Source organism: Homo sapiens, chromosome 6 (assembly GCF_000001405.40).
Source record: "Homo sapiens chromosome 6, GRCh38.p14 Primary Assembly".
Taxonomy (NCBI): domain Eukaryota; kingdom Metazoa; phylum Chordata; class Mammalia; order Primates; family Hominidae; genus Homo; species Homo sapiens.
In genome coordinates this window covers 27,830,888-27,857,703 of record NC_000006.12, presented here as the reverse complement: position 1 = coordinate 27,857,703, position 26,816 = coordinate 27,830,888, and the positions used below count along the sequence as shown (strand labels likewise).

Here is a 26,816-nt window from a genome sequence, read left to right as displayed (position 1 = left end):
CCAGGCCTGGGAGGTAAGTGCTAGTGGTATCTATGATCTACAGATAAGGAGACAAAGGATTGGACCTGTAGCATTATATTGTATTAATGTATTGACTGCTGTATTAGTTTGCTAGGACTGCCATAACAAGGTACCACAGAGTGGGTGGCTTAAACAACAGAAATTAATTTTTTCACAGTTCTGGAGGCTGGAAGTCTGAGATCAAGGTGTTGGTTTCTTTGTTTTTTGAGACATAGCAGTGTTGGTTTCTTCTTCTTCTTCTCCTTCTCCTTCCTTCTTCTCCTCTTCTTCTCCTCCTTTTCCTACTCCTCCTCCTTTCTTCTCTCTCTCCTTAGCTTGTAGATGGCATCTTCTCCCTGTGTCTCCAGGTCATATTTCCTCTGTGCATGTCTGTGTTCAAATTTCCTCTTCTTATTTTGTAGTTTTTAAATTTTTTTTAAGAGACGGAGTCTTGAACTCCTGGTCTCAAGCTATCCTCCCACCTCACCATTCCAGAGTATTGGGATTACAGGCCTGACTCACCATGCCTGGCCCCAAATTTCCTCTTCTTAAAAGGAAACCAGGGCCGGGCGCGGTGGCTCACGCCTGTAATCCCAGCACTTTGGGAGGCCGAGGCGGGTGGATCATGAGGTCAGGAGATCGAGACCATCCTGGCTAACAAGGTGAAACCCCGTCTCTACTAAAAATACAAAAAATTAGCCGGGCACGGTGGCGGCCGCCTGTAGTCCCAGCTACTCGGGAGGCTGAGGCAGGAGAATGGCGTGAACCCGCGAAGCGGAGCTTGCAGTGAGCCGAGATTGCGCCACTGCAGTCCGCAGTCCGGCCTGGGCGACAGAGCGAGACTCCGTCTCAAAAAAAAAAAAAAAAAAAAAAAGGAAACCAGTCATACTGGATTAGGGCCTACTCTAATTACCTCGTTTTCATTTAATTGCCTCTTTAAAGACTCTATCAACACGCGGTGGCTCACGCCTGTAATCCCAACACTTTGGGAGGCCGAGGCGGGTGGATCACGAAGTCGGGAGATTGAGACCATCCTGGCTAACACGACGAAACCCCGTCTCTACTAAAAATACAAAAAATTAGCCGGGCATGGTGGCGGGCGCCTGTAGTCCCAGCTACTTGGGAGGCTGAGGCAGGAGAATGGCGTGAACCCAGGAGGTGGAGCTTGCAGTGAGCCGAGATTGCGCCACTGCACTCCAGCCTGGGCGACAAAGTAAGACTCCGTCTCAAAAAAAAAAAAAAAAAAAAAAAAAGACTCTATCAACAATTACGGCTACATTCTGAGGTACTGGGGATTAGGAGTTCATTTATTGGGGATGGGGAGGCACACAATTTAGCCCTTAATAACTGCCTTCCTACATGGACAACAGTCCACAAGAGTCAGAGATGGGTGACTCCCTTCTTTGGGCTAGGCCTAAGTTTGGTTATTTGATAATAAGCAATAAGGCAGACAAAAACAAAACAAAACAAAAACTAAGAATGAGGATATGTTAATGTTTAAACTGCTACATTTTTAAAAAATTTATTGCAAATAATTAAACATTTATGTCTTTTCCACAATGAGATTTTTCAGCTCTTTACTTGGGCAGATCTAACCTGCCCACCCTCCAGGAGGGTGAGCAAAGGGGTTCTTTCTACTGGGGCTACTACTTTAGACAGAGAGTGCTCATAATTCCCTATCTAAAGTTACTTCATGTTACTTCATCACTGCTTTCAAGACAGCAATAATGGTCAGCTGCAAGTTGGCAGACATTTTAGACAAATGACATAGAGGGCGTCTGCAGGCATTATGTGACCTATAAGTTGCAATTTTTCAATAGTCTCTTTTGAAAAAGTTTCATACAGATTTTAATGTGTCTTAATTTCAGTACAATACTCAATAGGCAGACTGCTATACATGCTTGTTTCCCACAGGAAAGGCAAAAGTTATTGTGTGATGATGATATGGTGAAATTGCTTGATCCTCCCTCACAAAGAGAATTTGTCCAGTGTTCTCTAAGAACAGATTTTTATTTGCCTTTTATCCTAAAATTTGGAAACAAAAGGGAGAAAAACATTTTTTTAGGTCTAGAATGACATCTTATTTGCACTATTAAAACAAAACAAATACAAATGGCTAATTCTCATTTGTTTGTAAGTATTTTATTTGATGGTACAAAAGATCATGGAATCTATCCTTTCTACAGTGAAGGCCACCCACCACCACAAGATTCATAGACTGACTCTGTCACTGATTCTCTAGGTGATATACTGAAAATGCTCCCTTTCTCTGTCCATCAATTTTTTCACCCATAAAATAGGCATAGGATGATAGCAGCCTCAAAAGGTTAGTGCAGGCCATCACCTTCATACATAAAATGGACTGAGATTCCCAGTTTGAGGAGTTGAACTTTTTTCTCACAGTGAATGGTATATATTTTTCAATATTTCTTAATTCCATCAATTATTATTATTATTATTATTATTTTTGAGACAGAGTCTCATTCTGCCACCCAGGCTGGAGTGCAATGGCACGATCTCGGCTCATTGCAACCTCCACCCCCTGGTTCAAGCGATTCTCCTGCCTCAGCCTCCCGAATAGCTGGGATTACAGGCGCCCGCCACCATGCCCGGCTAATTTTTGTATTTTTAGTAGAGACAGGGTTTTGCCATGTTGGCCAGTCTAGTCTCCAACTCCTGACCTCAGGTGATCCGCCTGCCTTGGCTTCCCAAAGTGCTGGGATTACAGGCATGAGCTACCACGCCTGGCCAATTCCATCAAATTACAACAGAAAAATCAAAGTCATGCCTTGTGCCTTGTAGAAGTCTGTGCTCCATGGGTGTGACCACTGCCAAAGTACAACACCAGGACAGAAAGAAGCAACAATTGCATTAAAAGACATGAAGGTAGCTGAAAGGGAGAAGCATCCCTTAGAAAGGCAGGATGGTCTTCAGGGATTGGATCCAGCAAAAATAGATTGCAGAATTACCCGAGGACAGAAGTGGTGAAGCCATTTCATTGCAGATGTCACTTAGTTCTCTGATGGCTTGAGAAGGATCATCTTAATGTGAAAAGTGGTGGCTATAGATAGTTCTGAAAAACAAGGCAGAAGTGAAAGTTCTTTCTGAAGTGAAAGATGTGATTGAACAGATGAGAGGTTTGATTAAAATGTCCCAGATGGTAAAGTGAATATATTTTGATGGTTCAATATTAAGCTCTTTGGTGACAAAAATATAGTCAAGATGAATTGCCTAGCCTTCAAGAGATTTGATTCAAATATGACATGTAGTTTCTAAGGTACCTACTATTTCTTTTACCACTAGCCTAGCCTTCAAGAGATTTGATTCCAATATGACATGCACTTTTTAAGGTACTTGCTATTTCTTCTACCAATAAGGTAGTGCAATTAATGTCTGTATTTTTATTTTAGACTTCACAGACACTTGAACTATAAAAGTCATTGATTTAAATTTTGAAACATGATTTCTTGATCCAACAATACATTGTTTAATCTTTTCCTCTAGTTCTATGGCTAAGTATTTATTTATATTTAATTTAGCAACTCACTTCTTTGGTGGTGATACACAACTGAACCAACATGGCAACTAATTTCCTAACTTAAACATCGTTAGTGAGAATTTGAATTATTTATATGGGAAACCCATCCCTGGACCAGAGAGTATGACGGCACTGATCTATATCATTTTATACAACTGCATTTTGAAGATTTTAAGAATTGGAAGCCCTATGATAATTTAGTTATTGATATTTTTAAAACATGTTAACAAATACTATACCATTGATTCTATTTTTAGTAATTATTTTCAGTAATGGTAGACCAGACATCTTAGATCAACCCTCATGCTAACTAGAAAACAATCTGATTGGAACTGTAGGGGAGGGAAGACTCCCTCTGCCCTCTGAGGGTTTGATAATTAAGTGTATGAAATAAATTGACAGCAGGCAGATTAATAAGAGAAAGATATAAAAATTTATTTTGTGGCCGGGCGTGGTGGCTCACGCCTGTAATCCCAGCACTTTGGGAGGCCAAGGCGGGCGGATCACGAGGTCAGGAGATCGAGACCATCCTAGCTAACACAGTGAAACCCCATCGGTACTGAAAACACAAAAAAATTAGCCGGGCATGGTGGCGGGCGCCTGTAGTCCCAGCTACTCAGGAGGCTGGGGCAGGAGAATGGCCTAAACCCCGGAGGCGGAGCTTGCAGTGAGCCGAGATCGCGCCACTGCACTCCAGCCTGGGAGACGCGGCAAGACTCCGTCTCGAAAAAAAAAAATTTTATTTTGTGCATGGAGGTATCACATGAAAAATAAGTGAATGCCCCCCAAGCCCAGTGAGATCTAGAAGCTTATATACTGTCTTCATAGGGAAGACAGGAAGGGGGATGTAGGCAATGTAGGGGAGAGGAAATTATTTTTGGGAAAGATGAATGGGCCCTCCAAAGAACAGGTGACTGTCTGTGACAAAGTTTATCTTGCATAGTATCAACTTCCAGTCTCCTCTCCTGTGATACGAGTTAATCTTCCCTAGAATACATATATATATGCTTATAATAAACAACAGAAGGATATATCATAACATTTAAAATTATTACTCTAAGGTAAGAGAGGCTATTAGGATGAAGGAGAAAGATTTCTTTGGATATAATTTGATTTGACCTTGGGACTATGTAAAAATATTTTATGTAACGGTAGAAACAAATATTAAAAAGTCCAATCCCTAGACATCAACAGCAAAATGAAGTTAATATTCCCTAAGAATACATACATATATGCTTATAATAAACAACAGAAGGATATATCATAACCTTTAAAATTATTACTCTAAGGCAAGAGAGGCTATTAGCATGAAGGAGAAAGATTTCTTTGGATATAATTTGATTTGACCTTGGGACTATGTAAAAATATTTTATGTAATGATAGAACCAAACATTAAAAAGTCCAATCCTAGACATCAACAGCAAAACAAAGTAAATGGATCTGTATATCTAGATCATAACATAAGTGTGCAGGAAGGGATACTCCAAATACTTTGAAAAATAGTCATTTGAACACAAATGAACATTACTAGTGTGGTATATACCCTAAGGCAGCAGTTCTTGAACCTTCTGGTCTCATGACCCACTTACACTCTTAAAAAGTAATGAAGTGATGCAGATGATAATTTGAGGATGCCTTGGGAATTAGAGTTCGGATGCCAGCAATGACAGTCATTAAAATAAAATATGTTCTCCTTAAATAATATTTCAGTGAACAAAACACCAAGGAGTTTTCCAGGGAGCTCTCTTTTGAACCTTGATCTATAGCATATTAGGTGGTGGAGCTTTGCAATCCAAAGAATTTGTGTTTCTGTAGGTTATAACTATTGACATTTACCGTATTATATAGTAAAACAAAAAAATTTGGTTAATTCATTTAAAAATAACAGTAATAAACCCATTTTATGTTAGCATACATATTTTATGAAAAATAGCTATTTTTTAAAATAAAAAGAGTGACACTGTTTTACAATTTTGCAAATCTCTCTAATGCCTTGTTTAATAAAAGAAAGCTGAATTCTTCTTTCTGCATTCAATCTCTTGCAATATAAATGTCATCTGAAAATAATAATGAAAAAGAAAAATTAGTGTCAGAATTAGTATGAAATAATATTAGCCCACAGACCCACTACAAGGGCCTCAGGGGTCCCCAGACCACATTTTGAAATTAACTGCAATTGTTGCCATTATAGAAATCACTGTCCTTAGGACAAAAAAAAAAGCAAACATTTTTTGAAAATTATTTTCTTAGTAACAATATTGTTGGTGACACTGGTGGGGATGGCTATGGCAGAAGCTGATGCAGATGATAATTTGAGAATGCCTTGGGAATTAGAGTTTGGATTCCCAGCAATGACAGCCACTAAGATGAAATAAGCTCTCCTAACATAACATTTCAGTGAACAAAGCACCAAGGAGTTTTCCAGGGAGCTCTCTTTTGAACCTTGTTCTACAGCTTGGTGGGAGGTGGAGTTTTCCCCAAGGTAAATACAATAGAACCTTACAAATGGAAGGATGGGACCCTCCTGGAGAGCATGATGCTCATCTCAGAGATGTAGGGCACAATGACCTAGGAGAAGACAAATCCTAGAACACAGTGTAAGCTTCTTATTCAGCTCATCATACTGTTTGTTCCAATTGATTATCATCATGGATTGCTGGCATTTTACATGCTGAATCTATTCCAATTGACAACTGTAAGTGTTCTGTTTAACTAAAATTCTCAAGTTAGCCATACTAATTATTAGTGGGGATTCTTTCAGGCTTTCTTGCCTCTCTCCTGCCCTAACTTACTTTTTATTGCTTCTCCAGACATCTGAGATTATCCTCACCTTCCGTCAGCATGATGTCCTACACTCATTAGGATTTCCTATTCCCCAAAACTTGTAATTGGATCCTCTTCAAGAACGTTGGGTTCTTGACTAGAAACTAAAAATATCTACACTACGGTTTACGTTACATTGTTTTCTGTGTGCACTGATGCACCTGGTTGACTTATGGGACTTTTAGATGATATTTAGTGACAGATTTAAAACACTGACTTTTTTTCTTTTATTTCCTCCTCTCTCACATATCAAAGAACACTGTTTTTAGAGGATGAGTGCATGTTACTCCTTTCACTGAATGTCCTTTATCCTTCCTAAAAAGTTTTCCTTTTTAAATCTAACTCACTTTTCTTCACGATCAAAAAGCTTCATTCTTCTCTGTCATAAAAACAATTCCCTTACCAAGGTTAATTTACTATATTGTGGGTTAATTTAAATAACGTGTTTAAAGAACAATATTATTTAAAATTTTAGAACGCACACAATGGACTTTTATCCACGTATTATTAAAGTCACAGTAGTGACTTTAACATTCTACATTGAGCTTTTAGGACAACTAATATACTCCACAGCTAATAAATGCATGTAGTTACCGTGGGTTTTTTTTGTACTTTATAATTCTAAATGATGCCTCCCAGTTTTTATTATGTGTATAGCAGTTGTTTGAAAAGAAAATGAAATGGAATTTTAATTTTCTAACACTCTTACTCCAAGAGAACAACAAAATTACAAAGGTATCATTGATGTTCAGTTTATTATTATTCCATTAACTCCGTTAAATATAATATGAATAATAAATTGAGTGTATGTATGTGTAAAGTGTGTCATTTGGCTCACAGAATATGTAGCTAAACCATCAAAAGATTGGACCTATCTGTATTCTCCACCTTGCTGCTGAGATGAGCTTCATGAGCATACAATAATGTGGCCACATATAAATACCTTAATATACACAGAATTTGTTGATAATCTACAGTTTATTTTCAAGATGTCGATTTAAAATGCTGGAAAAAGTAATTAAATTATGATCAAGCTACAAAGCATTAAAATTAATATCTAGAATTATTTTTTAAAGTCCAGTGTAATATTTACAATGCTATCTCCAAAATTTTAGTGCAATTATTTATATAGTTCAATATTCTTGAAACACCATTTCACAAGAACCAACTAGTAAACGATACTAGTATACTTGGGCTATAATGTATTTTAGGTGCAACTCCACATATATATTCACTTCACATGCACAAACTTCTAATATTAATTAAGGTAATTGAGATGTAAATTTACAGGTTTTTTTTCTTTGAAAAGTGCAGAGACTTTAGAAGTTATAATTACCGGACATCCTAGTCCTATGTAAAACTTGAATTTCTGCATGAATAGGCCATGTCTATACTCTCAGTTTTATATTCTGTATTAATTCTACTATTAAAGCAAACATGATATAAAACATAGCCTTAAGAAATTAAAACACACACAAAAAAATCCCTTAATATATTAATGGATACTTTTCTTCATTCTAAGCATCTGAAGAAATCCTCTGGGAAATAGTTTGTATCTATGTTTTAGTATAACATATTAAACTAAAATTATTATTTGTAAAGTAGTGTCTAATATAATATGGCTTCCAGAAAGATATAGTCCATACCTATTTAGCTTTGAATGCGAGGCTTTAAGCAAAAATTCAAAGTGCCTCTCCTTTCCATATCTCAAGACCACAGCCTGAAAGACTTTTAATGGGCAACCACTAGTTTTTATCTTGGGAATATTGCAAATTAAACAAATTAGGTCACCAATATGTACCTTCATATGCAATTTGAACAAAAGGGAAATACCGCAGTAAGTGGTTAATTGGTCAAATAGTGTATTTTTTTGTTCTTGAGTAACAAGATGTTTTTCAGAAGTTTAGTAGCTAAATAGATAAGAAATACATAAACAACTATATATTGCCCCCCCCCTTTTTTTTTTTTTAAGACAGAATTTTGCTCTTGTGGCCCAGGCTGGAGTGCAATGGCACGATCTCAGCTCACTGCAACCTCTGCCTCCCGGGTTCAAGTGATTCTCCTGCCCAGCCTCCCGAGTAGCTGGGGTTACAGGTATGCGCCACCACACCTGGCAAATTTTGTATTTTTAGTAGAGATGGGGTTTCTCCATGTTGGTCAAGCTGGTCTCGAACTCCCGATCTCAGGTGATCCGCCCGCCTTGGCCTCCCAAAGTGCTGCGATTACAGGTGTGAGCCACTGTGTCTAGCCTATATTGCCTTTTAATTCTTGTTTTTTACAATGATGGCAATCCATAATGTTATTCAATTGTTGTTTAATCCTTTCATAAGAATGTTATTCTAGTTTTTCTGGTAATTAAAAAGACAGCTCTGGAAACTTCCGTAGACTTACCTATAAATCTGTTATTGTTTTGATTTCATATCACTTTTAAAGATTGTGTACATTTTGTTTTGTTTTTTTAAGTAATGTGGTCCAGCTAGTCACCCAGGCTGAAATGCAGTGGGGCCATCCTAGCTTACTGCAGCCTTGAACTTCTGGGCTCAAGCTATCTTCCTACTCCAGCCTCCCAAGTAGCTGGGACTATAGACATGAGGCACCTCTCCTAGCTTCACTTTTAAAGGTTTTAAAATCTAATCTTTCTCTGGTTTTAGCTTGCTTAATACAAAATTCAATTATGTTCTATAGGAAAAATTTCCTCTACTTTGGGATCTTGGCAGTGATCCTCCTAGAAATGGTGATGGGCAAAACAAAAGGCTTTTGATTTTGTTGAAATGTGTTTGATAGGCTACATTAAAGCCACAGCACAAAGAAACCTTGTAGAGCAAAGGAATAAAGAAATTATTGATGAAACTCTGAATCCTGGAAGGAAACTCAAAGATCATCTTACTAAACCCTACCTTTATTTACATTTGAAGGAATGGAAACCAAGAAGTATTTGTGAAAAACATGCTGTCACGCCAGAACCCAGATCTCTGGGATTCCTGTCCAATGTGTGTGTGTGTGTGTGTGTGTGTGTGTGTGTGTGTGTGTTTGAGAGAGAGAGACAGTGTGAGAGTAGGAGAAAAAGCAGGAGGAGGGGAAGGCGAAAAGGGAGAGAGAAAGCACAATTCTCTCATTCCATATATGTATTGAGTGCCTACTATATGTCAGGGATACACCAATAAATGATATGGATTGTAACACATATTTACTTTTGTAAATGAGCAATTCTATTATAAAAGATAAATATGCTTTTAGTTAGTAAAATGTAGGCAAAAATGCTTAAGATGTTTTAAGTAGACATAAGTAGTTAGTAAAAAGAGCATATGTTGTTAAATATAGATATAAGGGATGGAAGGGTCAAAAGATACCTAATGTTCCTGATGCACAAAATATACAAAAGGAGCCACACATTCAGAATTCACAGATATATGAGACATCGAAGCACTGACTCATTATTCATGAGGCCTTGAGTCAGCCACAAATTGGAGACACCATAAGTTCTCTACTTTAGGAACAAAAATAAAATCCATGGCTATTCAACCAACTAATTGGTTGGGTCCAGGCATATATATCTCTGTGTCTATCCTACAGGCTGATTGAGCGATGTAAAAGAGATCAGATATACGGAAACTGCTCACACTTGAGTCAGATAGTGTGGTTCTTCCAATTCACTTACACACTAAACCATTAACTTGCTCTTCTTTTTCCCCTTGCTGCTTGCTATGTTTTTTAATGAAGCTGTGATTTGAGCATTTCACTGCATAGTCTGCAAACCTATTTGTGCTGTGTCCTCTGGGAGAGCTTGCATGGGACTATACTTGGAGCCTACCAGGGCATCAAGGTAATTTCTCACATGGTACCAATAAGGACCCTCTATCATAACAAAAATGTGGAACAGTCACCTTTAGACAGCAACTTGCAGGAAGTGAGGGAAAAATGATGGAGGTGTGTTCCAGTCAGAGGTAAAATAACGTAGAGGGGCTCACAGGGACACAATGCTCAGCAGTTTGAGGAACATCAACGGGGCCAGGGTAGCTAGAGTAGAGGAAACAAGTAAGACAGCCCTAGGAGATGAGGCCAAATACATCACTGGGGCCAGAGTATGCAAAACTTCATAGGGCAAGGTAAGGGCTTTGGAAGTTTCTGAGTCAAGGAGCAGGTGATCTGACCGAAACTTTTAGAAGGCTATCAGGATGCTGAGGGGAGCACAGACTGGAGAGGCACAGAGATAGGAGCAGGTACACCAGGTAGAAGCTATGTAATAACCAGGAGAGAGGAGGTGGGTGCAGAGTAGGTCAGCACTGGCAATGGAAAGTAAAGGGCTCCCAGTATGGATTACTTATCCCTAGATTACTGCCAAAGGAGTCTTCTTTCCTAGTCTTATTACTCTGTTCATTTCTGCCCAATTAAAACCTCCAAATGTCACTTTTTTTCTTGTTAAAAACACTTTTCTTTTCTTTTTTTTTTTCTTTTTTTGAGACGAATCTCGCTCTGTTGCCCAGGCTGGAGTGCAGTGGCACAATCTCGGCTCACTGCAAGTTCCGCCTCCCGGGTTCACGCCATTCTCCTGCCTCAGCCTCCCGAGTAGCTGGGACTACAGGCACCCACCACCATACCTGGCTAATTTTTTGTATTTTTAGTAGAGACAGGGTTTCACTGTGTTAGTCAGGATGGTCTCGATCTCCTGACCTCATGATCCGCCCGCCTCGGCCTCCCAAAGCATTGGGATTACAGGGGTGAGCCACCGCGCCCAGCAAAGACACTTTTCAAAACAATGCTTTCCTTTCCACACACATAAATCTAAACTAATCAGCCTGGGCATTGTGTTTCTTGAGCCCTGGAAGATGGTATCTGTTTTGTTGAAGAATTTGCCCATTCTGTCCCATCTCTCTGACTTAGGACACACCACACTAAATCCTGATATATAAATTGTATATATCATTAAGACTTCTTTAGTTGTCCTTTAGGATGTATGTCCTTTAGGACAGTGACCATGTTCTTTTGTATTGACTGTTTCTCCAAGGACACATTCAATGATAATCAATGTGGAGGACTTCCGAGATAATGACCCTTTGCCATCACAGGCTGTCTACCTCTTCTCAGCATTAAGACCCTCTGCTTATTCACATGCCCACAGCTCTCGAGGGAAGAAAAGAAGTCTAGAAATACCCAACCAGGCGCATGGACAAATTGGCCTACGTAGGCCTTCCTCCATGCCTCCCCTTCCCCCAAACCCACATTTATTTTCATTCCTTTCCTTCTAGTCTGGCACAACATGTCAGTAAAAAGGACACAAGACTAGAAAGCAAATTCTGAGATTTGGAGCATCTGTCTCAGAATAAGCAGTTGCAATATGCCTTATCTTTCCCAGAATATGTTCTTGCTCCACATCTAACAATAAAGTTCCAAGAAGGGGAATTCGTCAACATCTCTCTGACTGATTTAACAAGGTGAAGACATATCTGTTTAAGAGGTATTGCTGGTAGCCAGACGAGAGAAGCTATTGAGACATCTGCAGTGAGGTACCTGTTGCAAAGCCCCACCGAGAAGGTGGCTGCGGGGAACTCATTCCTTCTTTGGGATCAGCATGGTTCTGTATTACATTTTTAGAAGAGCTGAGTTTCCATGTGTTCTTAAGGTCTAGGATGTATACAGGAGCTCCAGTATCACAGTGGACCCCACAGAAGTGGCCAACTACTTACATTTCAATATCCTTCTCTGCTTTTTTGTTTATCAGACCAAAGCTGAATGTGAATCTGATGGCTGCTGCTTTAGTTCAAAGCCAATGGAGTGCTATACCTACAGAAGCAGAACTTTAATAAACTGGCCTGAGCAATAGCAAATGGGGAGGACTTCTGAATTAACGACCCTTTGCCATCACAGGCTGTCCACTTCTTCTCGGTAATAAGACCCTCTGCTTATTCACATGTCCACAGGTAACCTCTAGAGGGAAGAAAAGAAGTTTAGAGATAGCCAACCAGGTGCATGGACAAATTGGCCTACCTAGGGCAGATGCCTCAAGTATTTTTCTTCTGCAACTGATTATCAGCACTGCAGACTATTTCTGAGGACATTCTGGCATTATTAGAAGCCCTCCAGCCACTCTCAGCTTTGACATGTCCTCTATGTAGTTTCTGCAATGAAAGTAATTAATGTCATGGTTCTCGTAGAGCAGTACTGGTTCTTACGGAGCATTCTGGAAATTAAATAAGTTGGGTTTTTATTGTTGTTGTTGCTGGTTTTTTTTTTTTCTTTTTTGCTGTCCTGGTGATTGGGAAAGGGCACACTACTGACATTTAGGGAAGGACCAGGGATGCTAGATATCCTGTGAAGAAGCCTCAACTCATGCATGACTTCCAGGTATCTCAAAATCAATCTGAAGATGAAAAACCTGATTATTTGAGGCTAAAACAGAATTCCTTTTACACATAAGCATGAAATGTCTGTGTGTGTGCATAGTTTAATGTGCACTGAATTTTCCAAGAATGCAATCACTTTACAAATTAAGAGAAGACTGTATTTTATTGTGTTCAAATGTCACTCAGCATTACTGGCCTTTTCAAAAAGAAAAAAATCACATTACTGAGAGTAATGTCCCTTGTGGTATTTGAGTTACCTGAGTCAGTTGGTTTGGTCCTTGTTGCATTCAGGATAGTCCCATACAGAGCTGGAACATCCAACTACTTCATTTTGTTTTCTAGTATAGGGCCCAAGCATTTATAGGTTGAAAGTATCATCTTTATTGTTAAAATACCATCCCTTATTTAGCTTTTAAATCATATTAAGTTGCTTTAGCAATTTTTGAAAAATTAAGTTAAATAGTATTACCTAAGAATTTAATTACAGGCTGTAAAAAGGACCATAAAAATATTAGACATAAAAAGGGAGCCTAGGCCTGACAGGTGTGAGAACCACTGCTTTTTATATATTCTCATTTGTAAGCCCTGTTTAATGAGCTACACAAGCACCAACCTCACAGAGGGTCGATAAATACAGGTCACAACCCTCACTGCTACTCCAAATGGTTGCACCAGGACCTGACTATATGATTTCAAAGCCTGAGTTGCTGCCCTTGTGCCTTGGGATTTTAAGGCTCTTCCCAAATTAATATGCTTAGAATCCCAGTGTTTTCTTACAGCTTTTCTCAATTTCTCCATCAAAAATAATTCCTTTTCTCTAGTATAATTACAGAACTATGGCTGAGGCACTTCTTTTATTTTTCCTTGTATCAGTGGGAATTCTTACTGTCAGGGGATGAGGTTATTTGTTCTCACAGTCTATCCCCATTGTTCTTTCCATTTTCTGACCCTCAATAAAACCTTGCTAAGTTTCATCACTCACATTTACCAACCCCCTAGAGATACTTACGTGCGTGTTCAACTTTGGAAATTGATAGAAATTTTTTTTTCCTTCCTAGATGGAATCTTGCTCTGTCACCCAGGCTGGAGTGCAGTGGCGCAATCTTGGCTCACTGCAACCTCCACCTCCCGGGTTCAAGCAATTCTCCTGCCTCAGCCTCCCGAGTAGCTGGGATTACAGGTGCACACTACCATGCCTGGCTAATTTTTGTATTTTTTGTAGAGATGGGGTTTCACCATGTTGGCCAGGCTGGTGTTGAACTCTTGACCTCAGGTGATCCACCCACCTCAGCCTCCCACAGTGCTGGGATTACAGGCATGAGCCGGCACACCTGGACAGACATTTTTATCATTATTCCAGTATGGAAACATTTTCTCCTGTTTTTTAGTACCACGCATCTGCTTTACCTCATGCAGTCTCCCAACCTTTATGATTTGGTGACAGTATCAGAAAAGGAGAGGCTCTGAAACACAAGTTAAAAGGAATTGGGAAATGAATAAATTGGCCATCTGCAGAAGTAACAGATATTTGAGATGGTTTAGAAATGAATGGATGATTAAATTCACACCATGTTTTCCACATCACGTAATAGGAAATGGACCTCAGATAAGTTGTGATCACATTAATTTAACATGCCCTTTATCAGGCAATGTTTGCTGTAATGAAATAAACAAAAAAAAAATAAAAATAAAAATAAATAAAAAAGGAGCATGTCCAGTACTACGTCATAACTGAAGAATGGTAGACTGCATGAAATCTAGAAATGAGTGAAAAAGAATTAGGCTTTGTCAGTATGTTTCTTGCAATCTCCATGGAAGGGAGTGCTCTGTTTCCAATGAGGAAAATATAAATTTTTCTAGTCTGGCCAAAGACCATTTATTCAGGTAAATAGTTGTTTTTTCAAGACATAGCTGTAAAAAAAAAAAAAAAAAAAAGTCCTTTAGGACCAGATTCTCTCATATAATTCTATGTTCCAATCTGTTCCTTTTTGCCCTACAAATTGTTCTTCAGAAAAAAAAATATATATATATATATAGACATATATATATAGACATATATATAGACATATATATATATACATACACAAAAAGTTATTTGGGGCAAAACATGAATCATGTGCTTTCTTGAAGCTACCATATAAAAGTTCCAGTGTAAAGCACTAACATGACAACCTGGTTTGGATTAGCTCTAATCAATTCCCCAAGGCTCATTAGCAATGTCATAAATTAATCAAGATTGTTTCAGCAACAGAGGGTACCATGCTTGGCTATCAGGTGCAAATAACTTAAAAGATCTATCTTTGAGTCCTTATTTCTCTTTATCTCTCTGTTTTAGAAATTTTAACTTCTTAATAACTGAGAGTAATGGGCCTGATATGTGAACTTTGTAAAGAAGTGTTCAATTTTTTTCTGAATGCTTCTCTCCATTCTCCACACAGATTTTAGCCACCGCACACACAATATTCTTCTAGACATCTTCTTCCCTGCTGACAATTCCAGGTTATTCAAGTAGTCCCTGATGGCCCAAACTTCATATAGACATATAGATGCAGAAATATAGACATCTATCTATATTCTCTGTATGTTTAATAAGGAGTCACTTCACTATTCTTTATTCTGGCCTGGAGAATGTGTTTAGGTATCTTAATCCTTCCAAATCCCCTTCTCACTTTCTCTTCTGGATTTTAACTACAGATTCCTCCATTCCATAAAACAAACCAATATCAGAATTTCCTGCTGATTATCTGTATTAATGGAGAGGCTCAAAGGCACCTGTGCTATGAAAAGTTGTGATGAAAAAACTCAAATGTATGATGAATTTACTGTTCTCAAGTATTTTGGTGTGAAATGGTGGGAGGAGAGGAGATACATAAATGCAAAAAGTATAATCTCTGTTCTAACAGAGAGAGGAGTATACACACATACACATACATAACATATATACAAAATACATATATACATACACACACACAGCCTCCAGAGAGATGTTACAAAGATTTTGTGGGAAGTTAAGTAGAGATTATAAGAGCTAGAGGAGCTAAAGGAAGACAGAGCTCAGCTAGGCTCTAATAGAGAGGGCTTCAGAGAGTGAGACTTGTGTGAACTTTGGAGGATAAGTTAGGATTTAGATAGATGGAGAAGCAGGGAGAAAGAACATTTAATTAAATGGATTTCATGAAGTCTGAATTGTATCAATTCTGTGCCAAATGCAGATTCAATACATCAAATAATGTAAAGAAACCAACTGTAATGAAGCACCATCAAGATCCTCCAAGCACTTCCTGGGAATCAGGATTTTTGGTCTAGGGTCTTTAGTCTACAGATTGAGAAGCAAGGGTACCTGGAGATTGGTTGCTGACTCTTAATTTTAGCCAAATCTTGAGCTTTCTGAATCCATGGGCCTTCTTAATGCTCTCTGTGAATCTTCTTTTTCTCTTCCTTAAGAGAGGAGAAGGAATGAATAATATTTAGAAAATGAATAATATTTACAGGAACACTATTAAGTTTGAGTTTCTCACCTGTAAGTTTTCCTTTATGACAAACTATGTGATGCTTGTAACTTGTTTTTACACAGGGGGTTTTTTCCTATTATATTTTCCAGTATAGTATTTGATACATAAGTTTAATACATGTAACATATATTTAAAGTGTAAATCAGGCTGGGCATGGTGGCTCATGCCTGTAATACTAGCACTTTGGGAGGCCGAGGAGGGTGGATCATGAGGTCAGGAGTTCAAGACCAGCCTGGCCAACATGGTGAAACCCCATCTCTACTAAAGATACAAAAAATTAGCTGGGTGTGGTGGCGGGCTCCTGTAAACCCAGCTACTCGGGAGGCTGAGGCAGGAGAATTGCTTAAACCTGGGAGGCGAGGGTTGTAATGAGCCGAGATCGCGCCATTGCACTCCAGCCTGGGCGAAACGGTGAGACTCTATCTCAAAAAAATAAAAATAAAAATAAAGTTTAAATCAAATTATATCAAAACCCATGATAAAACATCTAACCCAAAACTGGAATATTGACGACAACTTGTATTTACCTCTGTGTTTTTCCCCATCCCATGTCTTGCCTTTATCGCTAAGATAGCCAGTGCCAGGTATTTTAAAAACTCTCTTAAAAGTTTTCATTATCACGCACTTGTGTATACTTATTCTGTATAAGCGCTTCTATATACACTTCAACAATGTATAATTTGGTTTTATTTTCATTTTATTTATTTATTTATTTATTTATTTATTTATTTATTTATTTATTTATTTTAAGAGGTAGGGTCTCACCATACTGCCCAGGCTGGTCTTGAACTCCTGAGCTTAAGCAAACCTCCCATCTCAGCCTCCCAAAGTGCTAGGATTACAGGCATGAGCCACCATGCCCAGCCATGGTTTTACTTCTGAGTTTAAAAAAAATGTTATTATATATGAACCTTCTGAGACTTACATTTCTAAAATTCAACCAGGTACTGTGTGTACCTCAATAAATGCATTATTTTGACCATGAACATGTAGTTGCCTCTAGTATTTTTATCTATTAAAAATGGCATTTTTTCCATTCTCATATGTCTCCTGTTGCATGTGTGCAAAATATTCTTTCATGTAAACAGCTAGGAATCGAATGGTTGGGTCACTGGAGTACACTTACTGGATAAAAAATATTATCAAAAACCTTCAGCAAATACAATTTGATGTGGAAGAGTTCCCACACTGATTCTTGGCAAAGACCAAAATACTTTTAAATATGCCACTCCTAAGTGTTTAAAATGAAGACACTCATTTTGATTTCCTGAGTTGGGGGTGGGGGAAAACAATGGAGAACAGCCCTTCTCCTCCTCTATTTTTTTTTCTTTTAACATTTCTTCCAATTACTAGAGATACAGTAAACGCAAGTGACACAGACAAGAAAACATGGAGCAGACCCTAACAGAAAAAGTAGGGAATAGAAACTATGTTCATAAATAGGAATTCCACACAAGAGAATTATGGGAATGAGTAAGACAGCAAGATTCCTCCAAAAAACCTGCACTGCCAAGAATTTTCCCAACTAGAACACTCACCAGAGAAAACGGTGGCCAAGTTTCAAACTGCCCTCGCAGTGTCGGGATTGGCCATTGACATCAACTCAGCCCGATTGACGTGTACGGTGCTGTAAACTGGGTTCAAACTTTTTTCTACTGCCTTTCTATCTTAATATTTAGCAAATCCAAACTGGGGACAAGGGAGGAGAAACAGCACCACTCTCAAAACAAACAAGTCGATTTGTACGTTTGTGTGTGTGCCAACTGCTTCATTACTAAAGTACACATGAAGTTTAGGGACAGAGCGCCGGAAGCACTGTGGATATTTTACCAGTGACACTTAAGTATTATATTTTCTTTGGGGTCAACAGGAACTGAATTTTCCCTTTACTAGGTTTGTCTGATGATAAACCTCATCCTTCTTCAGATATAAAATTGTCTCAAGCGTTGCTGCAACATGCAGTACACTGCAGTGCTAATTAATTTCTTTTCTTTTTCTTTCTTTTTTGAGACAGAGTTTCGCTCTTACTGCCCAGGCTGGGGTGCAATGGCCCGATCTCGGCTCACTGCAACCTCCATCTGCCGGGTTCAAGCGATTCTCCTGCCTCAGCTTCCCGGGTAGCTGGGATTACAGGCGTCCGCCACCACGCCCAGCTATTTTTTTGTACTTTTAGTAGAGACGGGTTTCACCATGTTGGCTAGGCTCGTCTCGAACTTCTAACCTCAGGTGAGCCACCCGCTTCGGTTTCCCGAACCGGGATTAGAGGCTTGAGCCAAAATTAGTTTCTAACAAGGCTAAAGGAATCTTGGAAATCGTCTTTGTAGCAAGTAAGAAATACCTGCTGTAAGAACAGTGAGTGCCAGTTCTCTTTGGGAAGACTGAGTGGCTCTGAAAAGAGCCTTTGGGGTGTGGGCCGAGACTGACCGAACGTTCCGCGGTGGGCGGGCTCACTTGGAACTGGTGTACTTGGTGACGGCCTTGGTGCCCTCCGACACCGCGTGCTTGGCCAGCTCCCCTGGCAGCAGCAGGCGCACGGCCGTCTGGATCTCCCTGGAGGTGATGGTCGAGCGCTTGTTGTAATGCGCCAGGCGGGAAGCCTCGCCGGCGATGCGCTCGAAGATGTCATTGACGAAGGAGTTCATGATGCCCATGGCCTTGGACGAGATACCGGTGTCGGGGTGGACCTGCTTCAGCACCTTGTACACGTACACGGAGTAGCTCTCCTTGCGGCTGCGCTTGCGCTTCTTGCCGTCCTTCTTCTGGGCCTTTGTCACTGCCTTCTTGGAGCCTTTCTTCGGGGCAGGAGCGGACTTTGAGGGCTCGGGCATGACTGGGAGTAACTGCCGGAAAATTGGAGGAAAAAAACAGGAAGACGGTAGCTCTGTCAACCTACCGCTTATTCACTGCTTCTTAACGCAAGTGGGGTAGAGAATGAAGTTGTGCGTTTAACCAGTGGTGAGTCCTGGAAACGTATATTAACTTTGTCCAATCAAAATAAGTGTTTTTCAAAACCGCAATCCCATTGGTTAAAGCGAAACTGTAATGTTAGCCAATAGCACAGCTTAGTTTTCGTGCCTCTGTTGACTATAAGTAGCGGAGCTTTAGCGTTACGTCAGTCTCAGGAACGTTACTGATTGAATTTTTTACGTCATGTCGGGACGTGGCAAGCAGGGCGGCAAAGCTCGCGCCAAGGCTAAGACCCGTTCTTCAAGGGCGGGTCTTCAGTTCCCAGTGGGCCGAGTGCACCGACTGCTCCGCAAGGGCAACTACGCTGAGCGGGTCGGTGCCGGAGCGCCGGTGTACCTGGCGGCGGTGTTGGAGTACCTAACCGCCGAGATCCTGGAACTGGCTGGCAACGCGGCCCGCGACAACAAGAAGACCCGCATCATCCCGCGCCACTTGCAGCTGGCCATCCGCAACGACGAGGAGCTCAACAAGCTGCTTGGTAAAGTGACCATCGCCCAGGGTGGTGTCCTGCCCAATATCCAGGCCGTGCTGCTGCCTAAGAAAACTGAGAGCCACCACAAGGCCAAGGGCAAGTAGCGGGGCTGGAGCAGTTCATTACTCATACCTCGGTCCAAACCAAAAAGGTTCTTTTCAGAGCCACCTACTTTTTCACCAAGTAGAGCTGTGTTCAGTTTTATCTGATAGTCGAGTCATTTTGCAATGGCACTGGAATGCTGTATGGAGATGAAGCAAAACTAAACGGCTTTTACACCACATTGTTTTGAGATAGAAAGTAGACATTGAAATGTTTACGGTACATCAAGAAATTTAGGCGCGGCAGCTCGCGCCTGCAATACAGCTGAAACAATAAGAAAAGTGAGGCAAGAGAATAACAAAGGGAGCTGAAAGTTAGAGGGCAGAATAAGTAAAAGCAAAGGGCAGAAGTAAGGTAGATGGGCGGGTGAACAAGAAGCGAGATAACAAGCAGTGAACCTTTTGCAGCCGAAACAAAAGAGATAATGTGAGCAAGGACCTCGTGGCCGGCAAGATCTGGAACAAACCAGTTTAAGAGGCAGCTCTTCAGAGATGGGCATGCGTATTAGAGAGGAAAAGTATCCTTAACAAAAGCCCGTATGATAATCAGCTACTTAAGGTTCATGCATATGGGCTACATATCATGCATATATTTAAGATTATAAGATAGAGGCACAAGCCACAGAGGACAAAGTAAGCAACAAACCTATCAATAAAAGGGCAGATGCTGGCTATAGATTAGGCAGCACTGGGAACAGAAAACATACACACACGCACGCACACACATAAAATGACTCAAACTACAGCAAGCTGACGCTGATCTCACCTCGCAGAGGTCAGTCCGCTCTCTCCCACCCCCGAGAGTGTAATACTCTGTTTACTAAACTTTTGCTGCTTTGCTTTGCTATCTGTGTGTGTGTCGTCCAATTTCTACCGGGCACCAAGAGCCTGGAACTGTTTGGCACCATCCGGTAAACAGAACCGCTTTGGGAAGCCGAGGCGGAAGGACCGCTAGAGCCTTGGAGTTCGAAGCCAGCCTGATCTTTACAAAAGTAAAATAACTAACCGTGCCTGGCGTCTCATAGCCTGTAGTCCTAGCTACTCGGGAGGCTGAGACCAGAAGGATCACTTGAGCCCAGGAGTTCGAGGCTGCAATGAGCTATGATTGCACCACTGCAGTCCAGCTTGTGTGACAGAGCAAGAGTGTTTCAAATGAACCTAGTGTCAGATATTTACTTTCTGTATTACAGAGGACTGAAAGCTAGCTAAATAATACTTTTCAGTGTACCTGGGTTCCAGAGATAAAATTGGTAAACTAACCTTTGCTCCTTACTTGGGCTTTTAGTTTATACTTCATAAGACCATGGAAGCAAAATTTAGGTATCTGACCCTTCTGCACAATTTAGGACCCCGTGTGTGTTTGGCCTACCTATTCGAGTTCAATTGAATCTTTCTGAGCATCTATGGTGTGCCAGGCACTCTCCTAAATGGGAATACAATATTAATCCAGATACATAAAGTCTCTATCCAAAAGGAGCTTCAAGTTGGCTTGGGCAAAGAATACATGTCATAATGGACTGTTTATATAAATGATGGGAAAGGGTTGGGGTTAGGGTGTGAGATTACTTTAGAACGTGTTATTTAAAAACAGTATGAATGAAGGACATTGTAAGTCAGGTTTTTTATTATATCATGGTCATATACTCCTGTTCCTGTCAGTTTTTCCTGCTTCCTTTCTTTCACCAAGATCACTCCTTTCCTTCTCAGATCACCAAGTCCTCCTAGCTATAGAGAGGGCCTTCTATTCCTCTCCACCTAAACTTATATAAGCTACTGTTTTCCTCATACAGACATGTTAATGAAAATGAATTTCTACAGGATCTCCAGTCCATTGAAATACATTAATTTTTGAGTCTCTTCACACATTTTTATTTCCTAGATTTAAGTCTTGATTGCAATCACATACAACTAGTATTTCTTGGAATAAAACAGCAATCACAAAAATCATAAATATCACATTGTTTAAAAAAATTTATTATTTGATGTTGAGGACTCCATCCTGATTTCAATGAATTAATTCATTTGTTCCCTTTTAAAATGTCATCTGTGTTATTTATGTGTATAAATTTTCAATAATTGTTTCTCAATATAGAGTAAATGATACAGCTCCATAGAAGGCCTGTAAGATTTTTGAAATTAAAATAAGTTTTTAAATAAAATATGCTGTTATGATCATTGAAGTTGATAATAAAATTATTCCATTGATTCTGTTTCTCCCAAGAACCACCATTTAATCATGAAAGCTAGCTAAGTAATATTTTTCAGAGTTCGTGAGTTCCAGAAGTAAAATTCTTTAAGCTAAACAGCTTGTAAAGTAACTTTTGCTTTATAATTATTATAATTTTGGGTGTTATTTATGCAAACTCAAATCAATGTACTCATAATCAAAACATTGACATGCAAACTTATGTATTAAGCAAAATAAAATATACAAGTGTGATATATCATTGTTTATAATTCCACATACACATGTAAAGGAAAATGGAGGAGCTGTTAAATGAGTAGCTTCACAGTAAGTAAACTAGAGGAGGCAACCTAAAGATCAGAGAGATCCAAGGGGCAAGGAGCAATTAGGAACATTTATAGTGCCTTATCACTTCATGGTATTATATCATCTGTGAAATATTGAATTAAATGAATGTCCTTACTGATTTGATGCCCTCTGAAGGTTTGTTGAAAAATCAGACATGAGGTAGATTAATAGAAAAAAAGGCAGACAAATTTACAATGTGCATGGGGAGAATCAGTGATTGCCCACCCCAGAACGTGGTTCAGAAGTTTATATACCATCCTTGAAAAACAGTTTGAGGGAGGGAGAAGAGGAATTCATTTGAGGGGATTACTAGGAAGAATGAATGGATCAGGGAAAAGAAATTAAACTTGTACCTTATCTTGTGAAATGAGCTGTTCGGGTGTGATTACATTCGTCTTACAGGGACTCATTTTTGGTGAGTCCAGATAACAGGAAGACAAAGGTTGGGGAGTGGGAGAAGGTCAAAGAGACTTTGAGGCTTCTGCAGTTCAGCTTGTCACCATGCCATAGTTTGGGGTATTGGTTTCTGAGCCCCGACATTGACAATATGTACTAAAAATAAATATTTGTTATTTAAATTAACTACTTAATGTGTTATACATAATTAGATAAATTGATGTATTAACATATTTAAAGTATAATATAAACAAAATATTTGTAAATTAGTTGTAAAGAAAAAAATTACGTATATTAAATAGAGGTTGGCTTTCTGCTTAATATTTTACATACATTATCTCCATTGTTTTATTTTTTTAATTTTTTTTATTTTTTAGATGAAGGTCTTGTGATGTTGCCCAGGCTGATCTCTGACTCCTGAGCTTGCACAATCCTCCCACTCCTGAACACATGCAATCCCCCCACCTCAGCCTCCAGAGTAGCTGGGACTACAGGCAGGCTACTGAGACTGGCCTCCATTAATTCTTACAGTACCTCAAAGAGGTAAATACTGTAGGGGCTAAGGGAAGTTTCATAGAAAATCAACTGACAAAAGACAGAATAATGGGAGAAATGGCACAGAAATTTAATAATGTGCACGAGGGAGAATTACAAAGTGATTACCCCAGTCCCTAAAGGAGTACAGAAGCTTATGTAACTTTTTTCATAGGGGAAGGAGGAGATGGGAAAGGTAGACAATTCCTTTGAGGGGCAATAAAGGCTTGTTATGGAAAATAAATGGGCCACAGAAAGAAATTAGCTTGTAAATGATTGTCTTCATAATTTATTTATTTATTTTGAGATGGGGTCTTAATCCGTCTCCCAGGCTGTCACCCAGGCTGGAGTGCAGTGGCACAGTCTCCACTCACTGCAACCTCCACCTCTGGGATTCAAGTGATCCTCCTACCTCAGGCTCCCTAGTAGCTGCGACCACAGGCATGCACCACTACAACTGGCTAATTTTTTTTTTTTTCAGACAGAGTTTCACTCTTGTTGCCCAGGTTGGAGTGCAATGGTGCAATCTCGGCTCACTGCAACCTCCGCCTCCCAGGTTCAAGTGATTCTCCTGCCTCAGCCTCCCAAGTAGCTGGGATTACAGGCATGTGACACCACCTGGCTAATTTTTTGTATATTTTGTAGAGACAGGGATTCGCCATGTTGGCCAGGCTGGTCTCGAACTCCTGAGCTCAAGGGATCCACCTGCCTCGACCTCCCACAGTGCTGGGATTAGTGGGAGGAGCCACAGCACCTAGTATGTCTTGGTAATTTAAATGAGACCGAGAGGCAGACATTATCTTGAAAAATCCATATTCAGTATTCTTTTCTGCAATAATGAAATAACAGGGAGGGGATAGAAGGCAATTGTTACTTCTGGTAAGAAATTTTCTTGGTCCGATTAGGAAATGTCAGAGTCCCTTCGCATGTATGGGAAAGAAGACGAAGTTAGAGGGGCTTTGATTCTGAAGCTTATTTCTGAGGCCTTTCAATGTTCAAAAGCGCTCAGCATGCCCAAGAACCACATTTTGGGGAATCATTCTGCACCCCAACAGTACCGTCACTATCCTATTCTAACTTTGTAGATGAGCAAAGATTTAAAAAGAATAAACAAGTCACCTCGTGTCTGATCGGTAACAAGTCAGCTCGAGTCTGAAAGGTAAACATTTAATCTAAAACCAAAGTTTTCTATTTCCAGAGTTTCAACTCTTAACTACTTTCTAAACAAAGAATTGAATACTAAGAGATTATATTAGAATAGTTATAGGAGTTTTATAATTTTCATTGATGTTAAAATAATTTCAGAGTGGCCGAGCGCAGTGGCTCAAGCCTGTAATCCCAGCACATTGGGAGGCCGAGGCATATGGATCACGAGGTCGGGAGTTGGAGACTAGCCTGGCCAACATGGTGAAACCCCGTCTCTACTAAAGATACAAAAAAATTAGCCGGGCGTGGTGGTGAGTGCCTGTAATCCCAGCTACTCAGGGGAGGCTGAGGTGGGAGAATCGCTTGAACCCGGGAGGTGGAGGTTGCAGTGAGCCAAGATTGGGCCATTGCACTCCAGCCTGAGCGAAAGGGCGAGACTCCGTCTCCACAAAAAAAAAAAAAAAAAAAAAAATTCAGAGTATAACCCTGTATTTATTAATAAGAAAGAAAATCAAATATACGGAATCAAAGTTGCTCCATAATGGTTGATAACAAATCTTTAGTTGGGTCATATAAAAGTGTCTTTTTAAAAACCTACAAGCGTCCAAGCGAAGCGGCTCACGCCTGTAATCCCAGCACTTTGGGAGGCTGAGGCGGGCGGATCACGATGTCAAGAGATCAAGAGCATCCTGTCCAACATGGTGAAACTTGTTCTTTACTAAAAATACAAAAAATTAGCTGGGCGTGGTGGCGCATGCCTGTAGTCCGCGCTAATCCGGAGGTTGAGGCATGAGAATCGCTTGAACCCGGGAGGTGGAGGTTGCAGTGAGCCGAGATTGCACCACTGCCCTCCGGCCTGACGACAGAGCGAGACTCCTTCCAAAAAAAAAAAAAAACCCCACACACAAAACCTACAAACACCAATTTTCTAGTTATAAGAGCTTGTTTTAAGGATTTTAATTCTATTCCAATTAAGTCCTAAAGCTAATGCAATTATCAAAATCTCGAAGAGATTTTATTCAAACTTCACAAAAGGTCTCTAAAGTTGTCCAGAAACCTTGGTGAAACAGATTAGGAAATTTGGAAAGGAAATAATGCGGAGACCCGTAGTACCAAATCATGAGACCTCTAATACAATTTTAAATATTAATGTAATAAAATTTAAATTTTGGTGTAATAAAATCATAAATTTCAATATTGGTCCCAAGTATAGAGAAAAAGTACATTTATGTTGAATGTGGAAAACATTATTTTTAAAATACAGCCGATTAAAAAATTGCTGGGGAACTGATTATAACTATTGATAATTCCTAAGAAACATAGACACCAAAACATCACTTTTATCTCTTTAATAGAAATTGGTTAAATTATAATCAATATAAGGAGGTTACAAAACTCCATATACAACACTGTATACATTTTCTTGGAAAAATATGTGCAACTGCTCTGCAAAATACATGATTAACTAGCCTGTGTGATGGGATAACATTGTAGTTTCTTAATTTCTTGTCCTTTCTTGTATTTCCCACAGTATTGATGTATATCTTCTGCGTTCAAAAGCAATTTTTTAAAGCCTCATAACGTGGTAACAAAATACTATGCACGTTACAAAATTCAGAACACGGAAACAAGAAGCTCGCTTTTTTTTTCCCCCTATTTCGGTTTGGCCCTTTAGATTTCCCCTCCCCCACCGGGGCGGGACTTCCCGCCGACTTCTTTCAGGTTCTCAGTTCGGTCCGCCAACTGTCGTATAAAGGCGCTGCCTCAGGCCAGAGTCCTCACAAAGCGTTGGGTGAGACTCCTCTTGCTCGTCATGTCTGGCCGCGGCAAAGGCGGGAAGGGTCTTGGCAAAGGCGGCGCTAAGCGCCACCGTAAAGTACTGCGCGACAATATCCAGGGCATCACCAAGCCGGCCATCCGGCGCCTTGCTCGCCGCGGCGGCGTGAAGCGCATCTCCGGCCTCATCTACGAGGAGACTCGCGGGGTGCTGAAGGTGTTCCTGGAGAACGTGATCCGGGACGCCGTGACCTATACAGAGCACGCCAAGCGCAAGACGGTCACCGCCATGGATGTGGTCTACGCGCTCAAGCGCCAGGGCCGCACCCTCTACGGTTTCGGTGGTTGAGCGTCCCTTTCTATCAACAAAAGGCCCTTTTTAGGGCCCCCACTTTCTCAGCTGAGGAGCCGTGATGCTTGTTTGCCCAGTTTCTCTTTACCATTTGTTCGCGCCTGCTGAGTTTGTGCTGCTATCGGAGCATGCGTCTCTAGTCGCTGTAAGTAGGCATCAGTCACTAATCGCTCTCCAGTAAATAAAATACCCAACACAACTTGTTTCAGGTGCTCCAGAGCTTACTGACATGGGCCGTCGCGCAGACTGTAGTGCAGTGTCATCATGGCTCACTGTAGCCTCCCGATTAGCCGGAACCTCGCGCCCACCACCACGCAAGGCTAAT

At 40.2% G+C, this 26,816-nt stretch overlaps 3 protein-coding genes across 3 annotated transcripts, besides 11 other annotated features; 2 read left to right on the top strand and 1 right to left on the bottom strand.

Annotated features, from left to right (window-relative positions):
- Positions 17,854 to 18,053: an enhancer, noted in NCBI's record as "active region_24323". NCBI's record gives its function as "activates an Ori minimal core promoter by ATAC-STARR-seq in GM12878 lymphoblastoid cells {active_cell/tissue: GM12878}" and the evidence as "EXISTENCE:reporter gene assay evidence [ECO:0000049][PMID:35858748]".
- On the bottom strand, positions 18,594 to 19,135 carry H2BC15 (H2B clustered histone 15). The gene has a single exon (NM_003520.4). The coding sequence runs from the start codon at positions 19,040 to 19,042 to the stop codon at positions 18,662 to 18,664; it is 381 nt and encodes a 126-aa protein (NP_003511.1). The 5' UTR covers positions 19,043 to 19,135; the 3' UTR covers positions 18,594 to 18,661.
- Positions 18,884 to 19,093: an enhancer, noted in NCBI's record as "active region_24322". NCBI's record gives its function as "activates an Ori minimal core promoter by ATAC-STARR-seq in GM12878 lymphoblastoid cells {active_cell/tissue: GM12878}" and the evidence as "EXISTENCE:reporter gene assay evidence [ECO:0000049][PMID:35858748]".
- On the top strand, positions 19,329 to 19,824 carry H2AC15 (H2A clustered histone 15). The gene has a single exon (NM_003510.3). The coding sequence runs from the start codon at positions 19,365 to 19,367 to the stop codon at positions 19,755 to 19,757; it is 393 nt and encodes a 130-aa protein (NP_003501.1). The 5' UTR covers positions 19,329 to 19,364; the 3' UTR covers positions 19,758 to 19,824.
- Positions 19,424 to 19,513: an enhancer, noted in NCBI's record as "active region_24321". NCBI's record gives its function as "activates an Ori minimal core promoter by ATAC-STARR-seq in GM12878 lymphoblastoid cells {active_cell/tissue: GM12878}" and the evidence as "EXISTENCE:reporter gene assay evidence [ECO:0000049][PMID:35858748]".
- Positions 19,584 to 19,693: an enhancer, noted in NCBI's record as "active region_24320". NCBI's record gives its function as "activates an Ori minimal core promoter by ATAC-STARR-seq in GM12878 lymphoblastoid cells {active_cell/tissue: GM12878}" and the evidence as "EXISTENCE:reporter gene assay evidence [ECO:0000049][PMID:35858748]".
- Positions 19,964 to 20,013: an enhancer, noted in NCBI's record as "active region_24319". NCBI's record gives its function as "activates an Ori minimal core promoter by ATAC-STARR-seq in GM12878 lymphoblastoid cells {active_cell/tissue: GM12878}" and the evidence as "EXISTENCE:reporter gene assay evidence [ECO:0000049][PMID:35858748]".
- Positions 20,084 to 20,173: an enhancer, noted in NCBI's record as "active region_24318". NCBI's record gives its function as "activates an Ori minimal core promoter by ATAC-STARR-seq in GM12878 lymphoblastoid cells {active_cell/tissue: GM12878}" and the evidence as "EXISTENCE:reporter gene assay evidence [ECO:0000049][PMID:35858748]".
- Positions 20,262 to 21,199: an enhancer, noted in NCBI's record as "H3K27ac hESC enhancer chr6:27804283-27805220 (GRCh37/hg19 assembly coordinates)". NCBI's record gives its function as "activates a minimal SCP1, AML or CMV promoter by ChIP-STARR-seq in primed H9 embryonic stem cells {active_cell/tissue: H9 hESC(primed)}" and the evidence as "EXISTENCE:reporter gene assay evidence [ECO:0000049][PMID:30033119]".
- Positions 20,794 to 20,843: an enhancer, noted in NCBI's record as "active region_24317". NCBI's record gives its function as "activates an Ori minimal core promoter by ATAC-STARR-seq in GM12878 lymphoblastoid cells {active_cell/tissue: GM12878}" and the evidence as "EXISTENCE:reporter gene assay evidence [ECO:0000049][PMID:35858748]".
- Positions 25,835 to 26,660: an enhancer, noted in NCBI's record as "NANOG-H3K27ac-H3K4me1 hESC enhancer chr6:27798822-27799647 (GRCh37/hg19 assembly coordinates)". NCBI's record gives its function as "activates a minimal SCP1, AML or CMV promoter by ChIP-STARR-seq in naive H9 embryonic stem cells {active_cell/tissue: H9 hESC(naive)}" and the evidence as "EXISTENCE:reporter gene assay evidence [ECO:0000049][PMID:30033119]".
- Positions 25,835 to 26,693: a biological region, named in NCBI's record as "NANOG-H3K27ac-H3K4me1 hESC enhancer GRCh37_chr6:27798822-27799647".
- Positions 26,144 to 26,530, top strand: H4C12 (H4 clustered histone 12). Its single transcript, NM_003541.3, has one exon. The coding sequence runs from the start codon at positions 26,177 to 26,179 to the stop codon at positions 26,486 to 26,488; it is 312 nt and encodes a 103-aa protein (NP_003532.1). The 5' UTR covers positions 26,144 to 26,176; the 3' UTR covers positions 26,489 to 26,530.
- Positions 26,584 to 26,693: an enhancer, noted in NCBI's record as "active region_24316". NCBI's record gives its function as "activates an Ori minimal core promoter by ATAC-STARR-seq in GM12878 lymphoblastoid cells {active_cell/tissue: GM12878}" and the evidence as "EXISTENCE:reporter gene assay evidence [ECO:0000049][PMID:35858748]".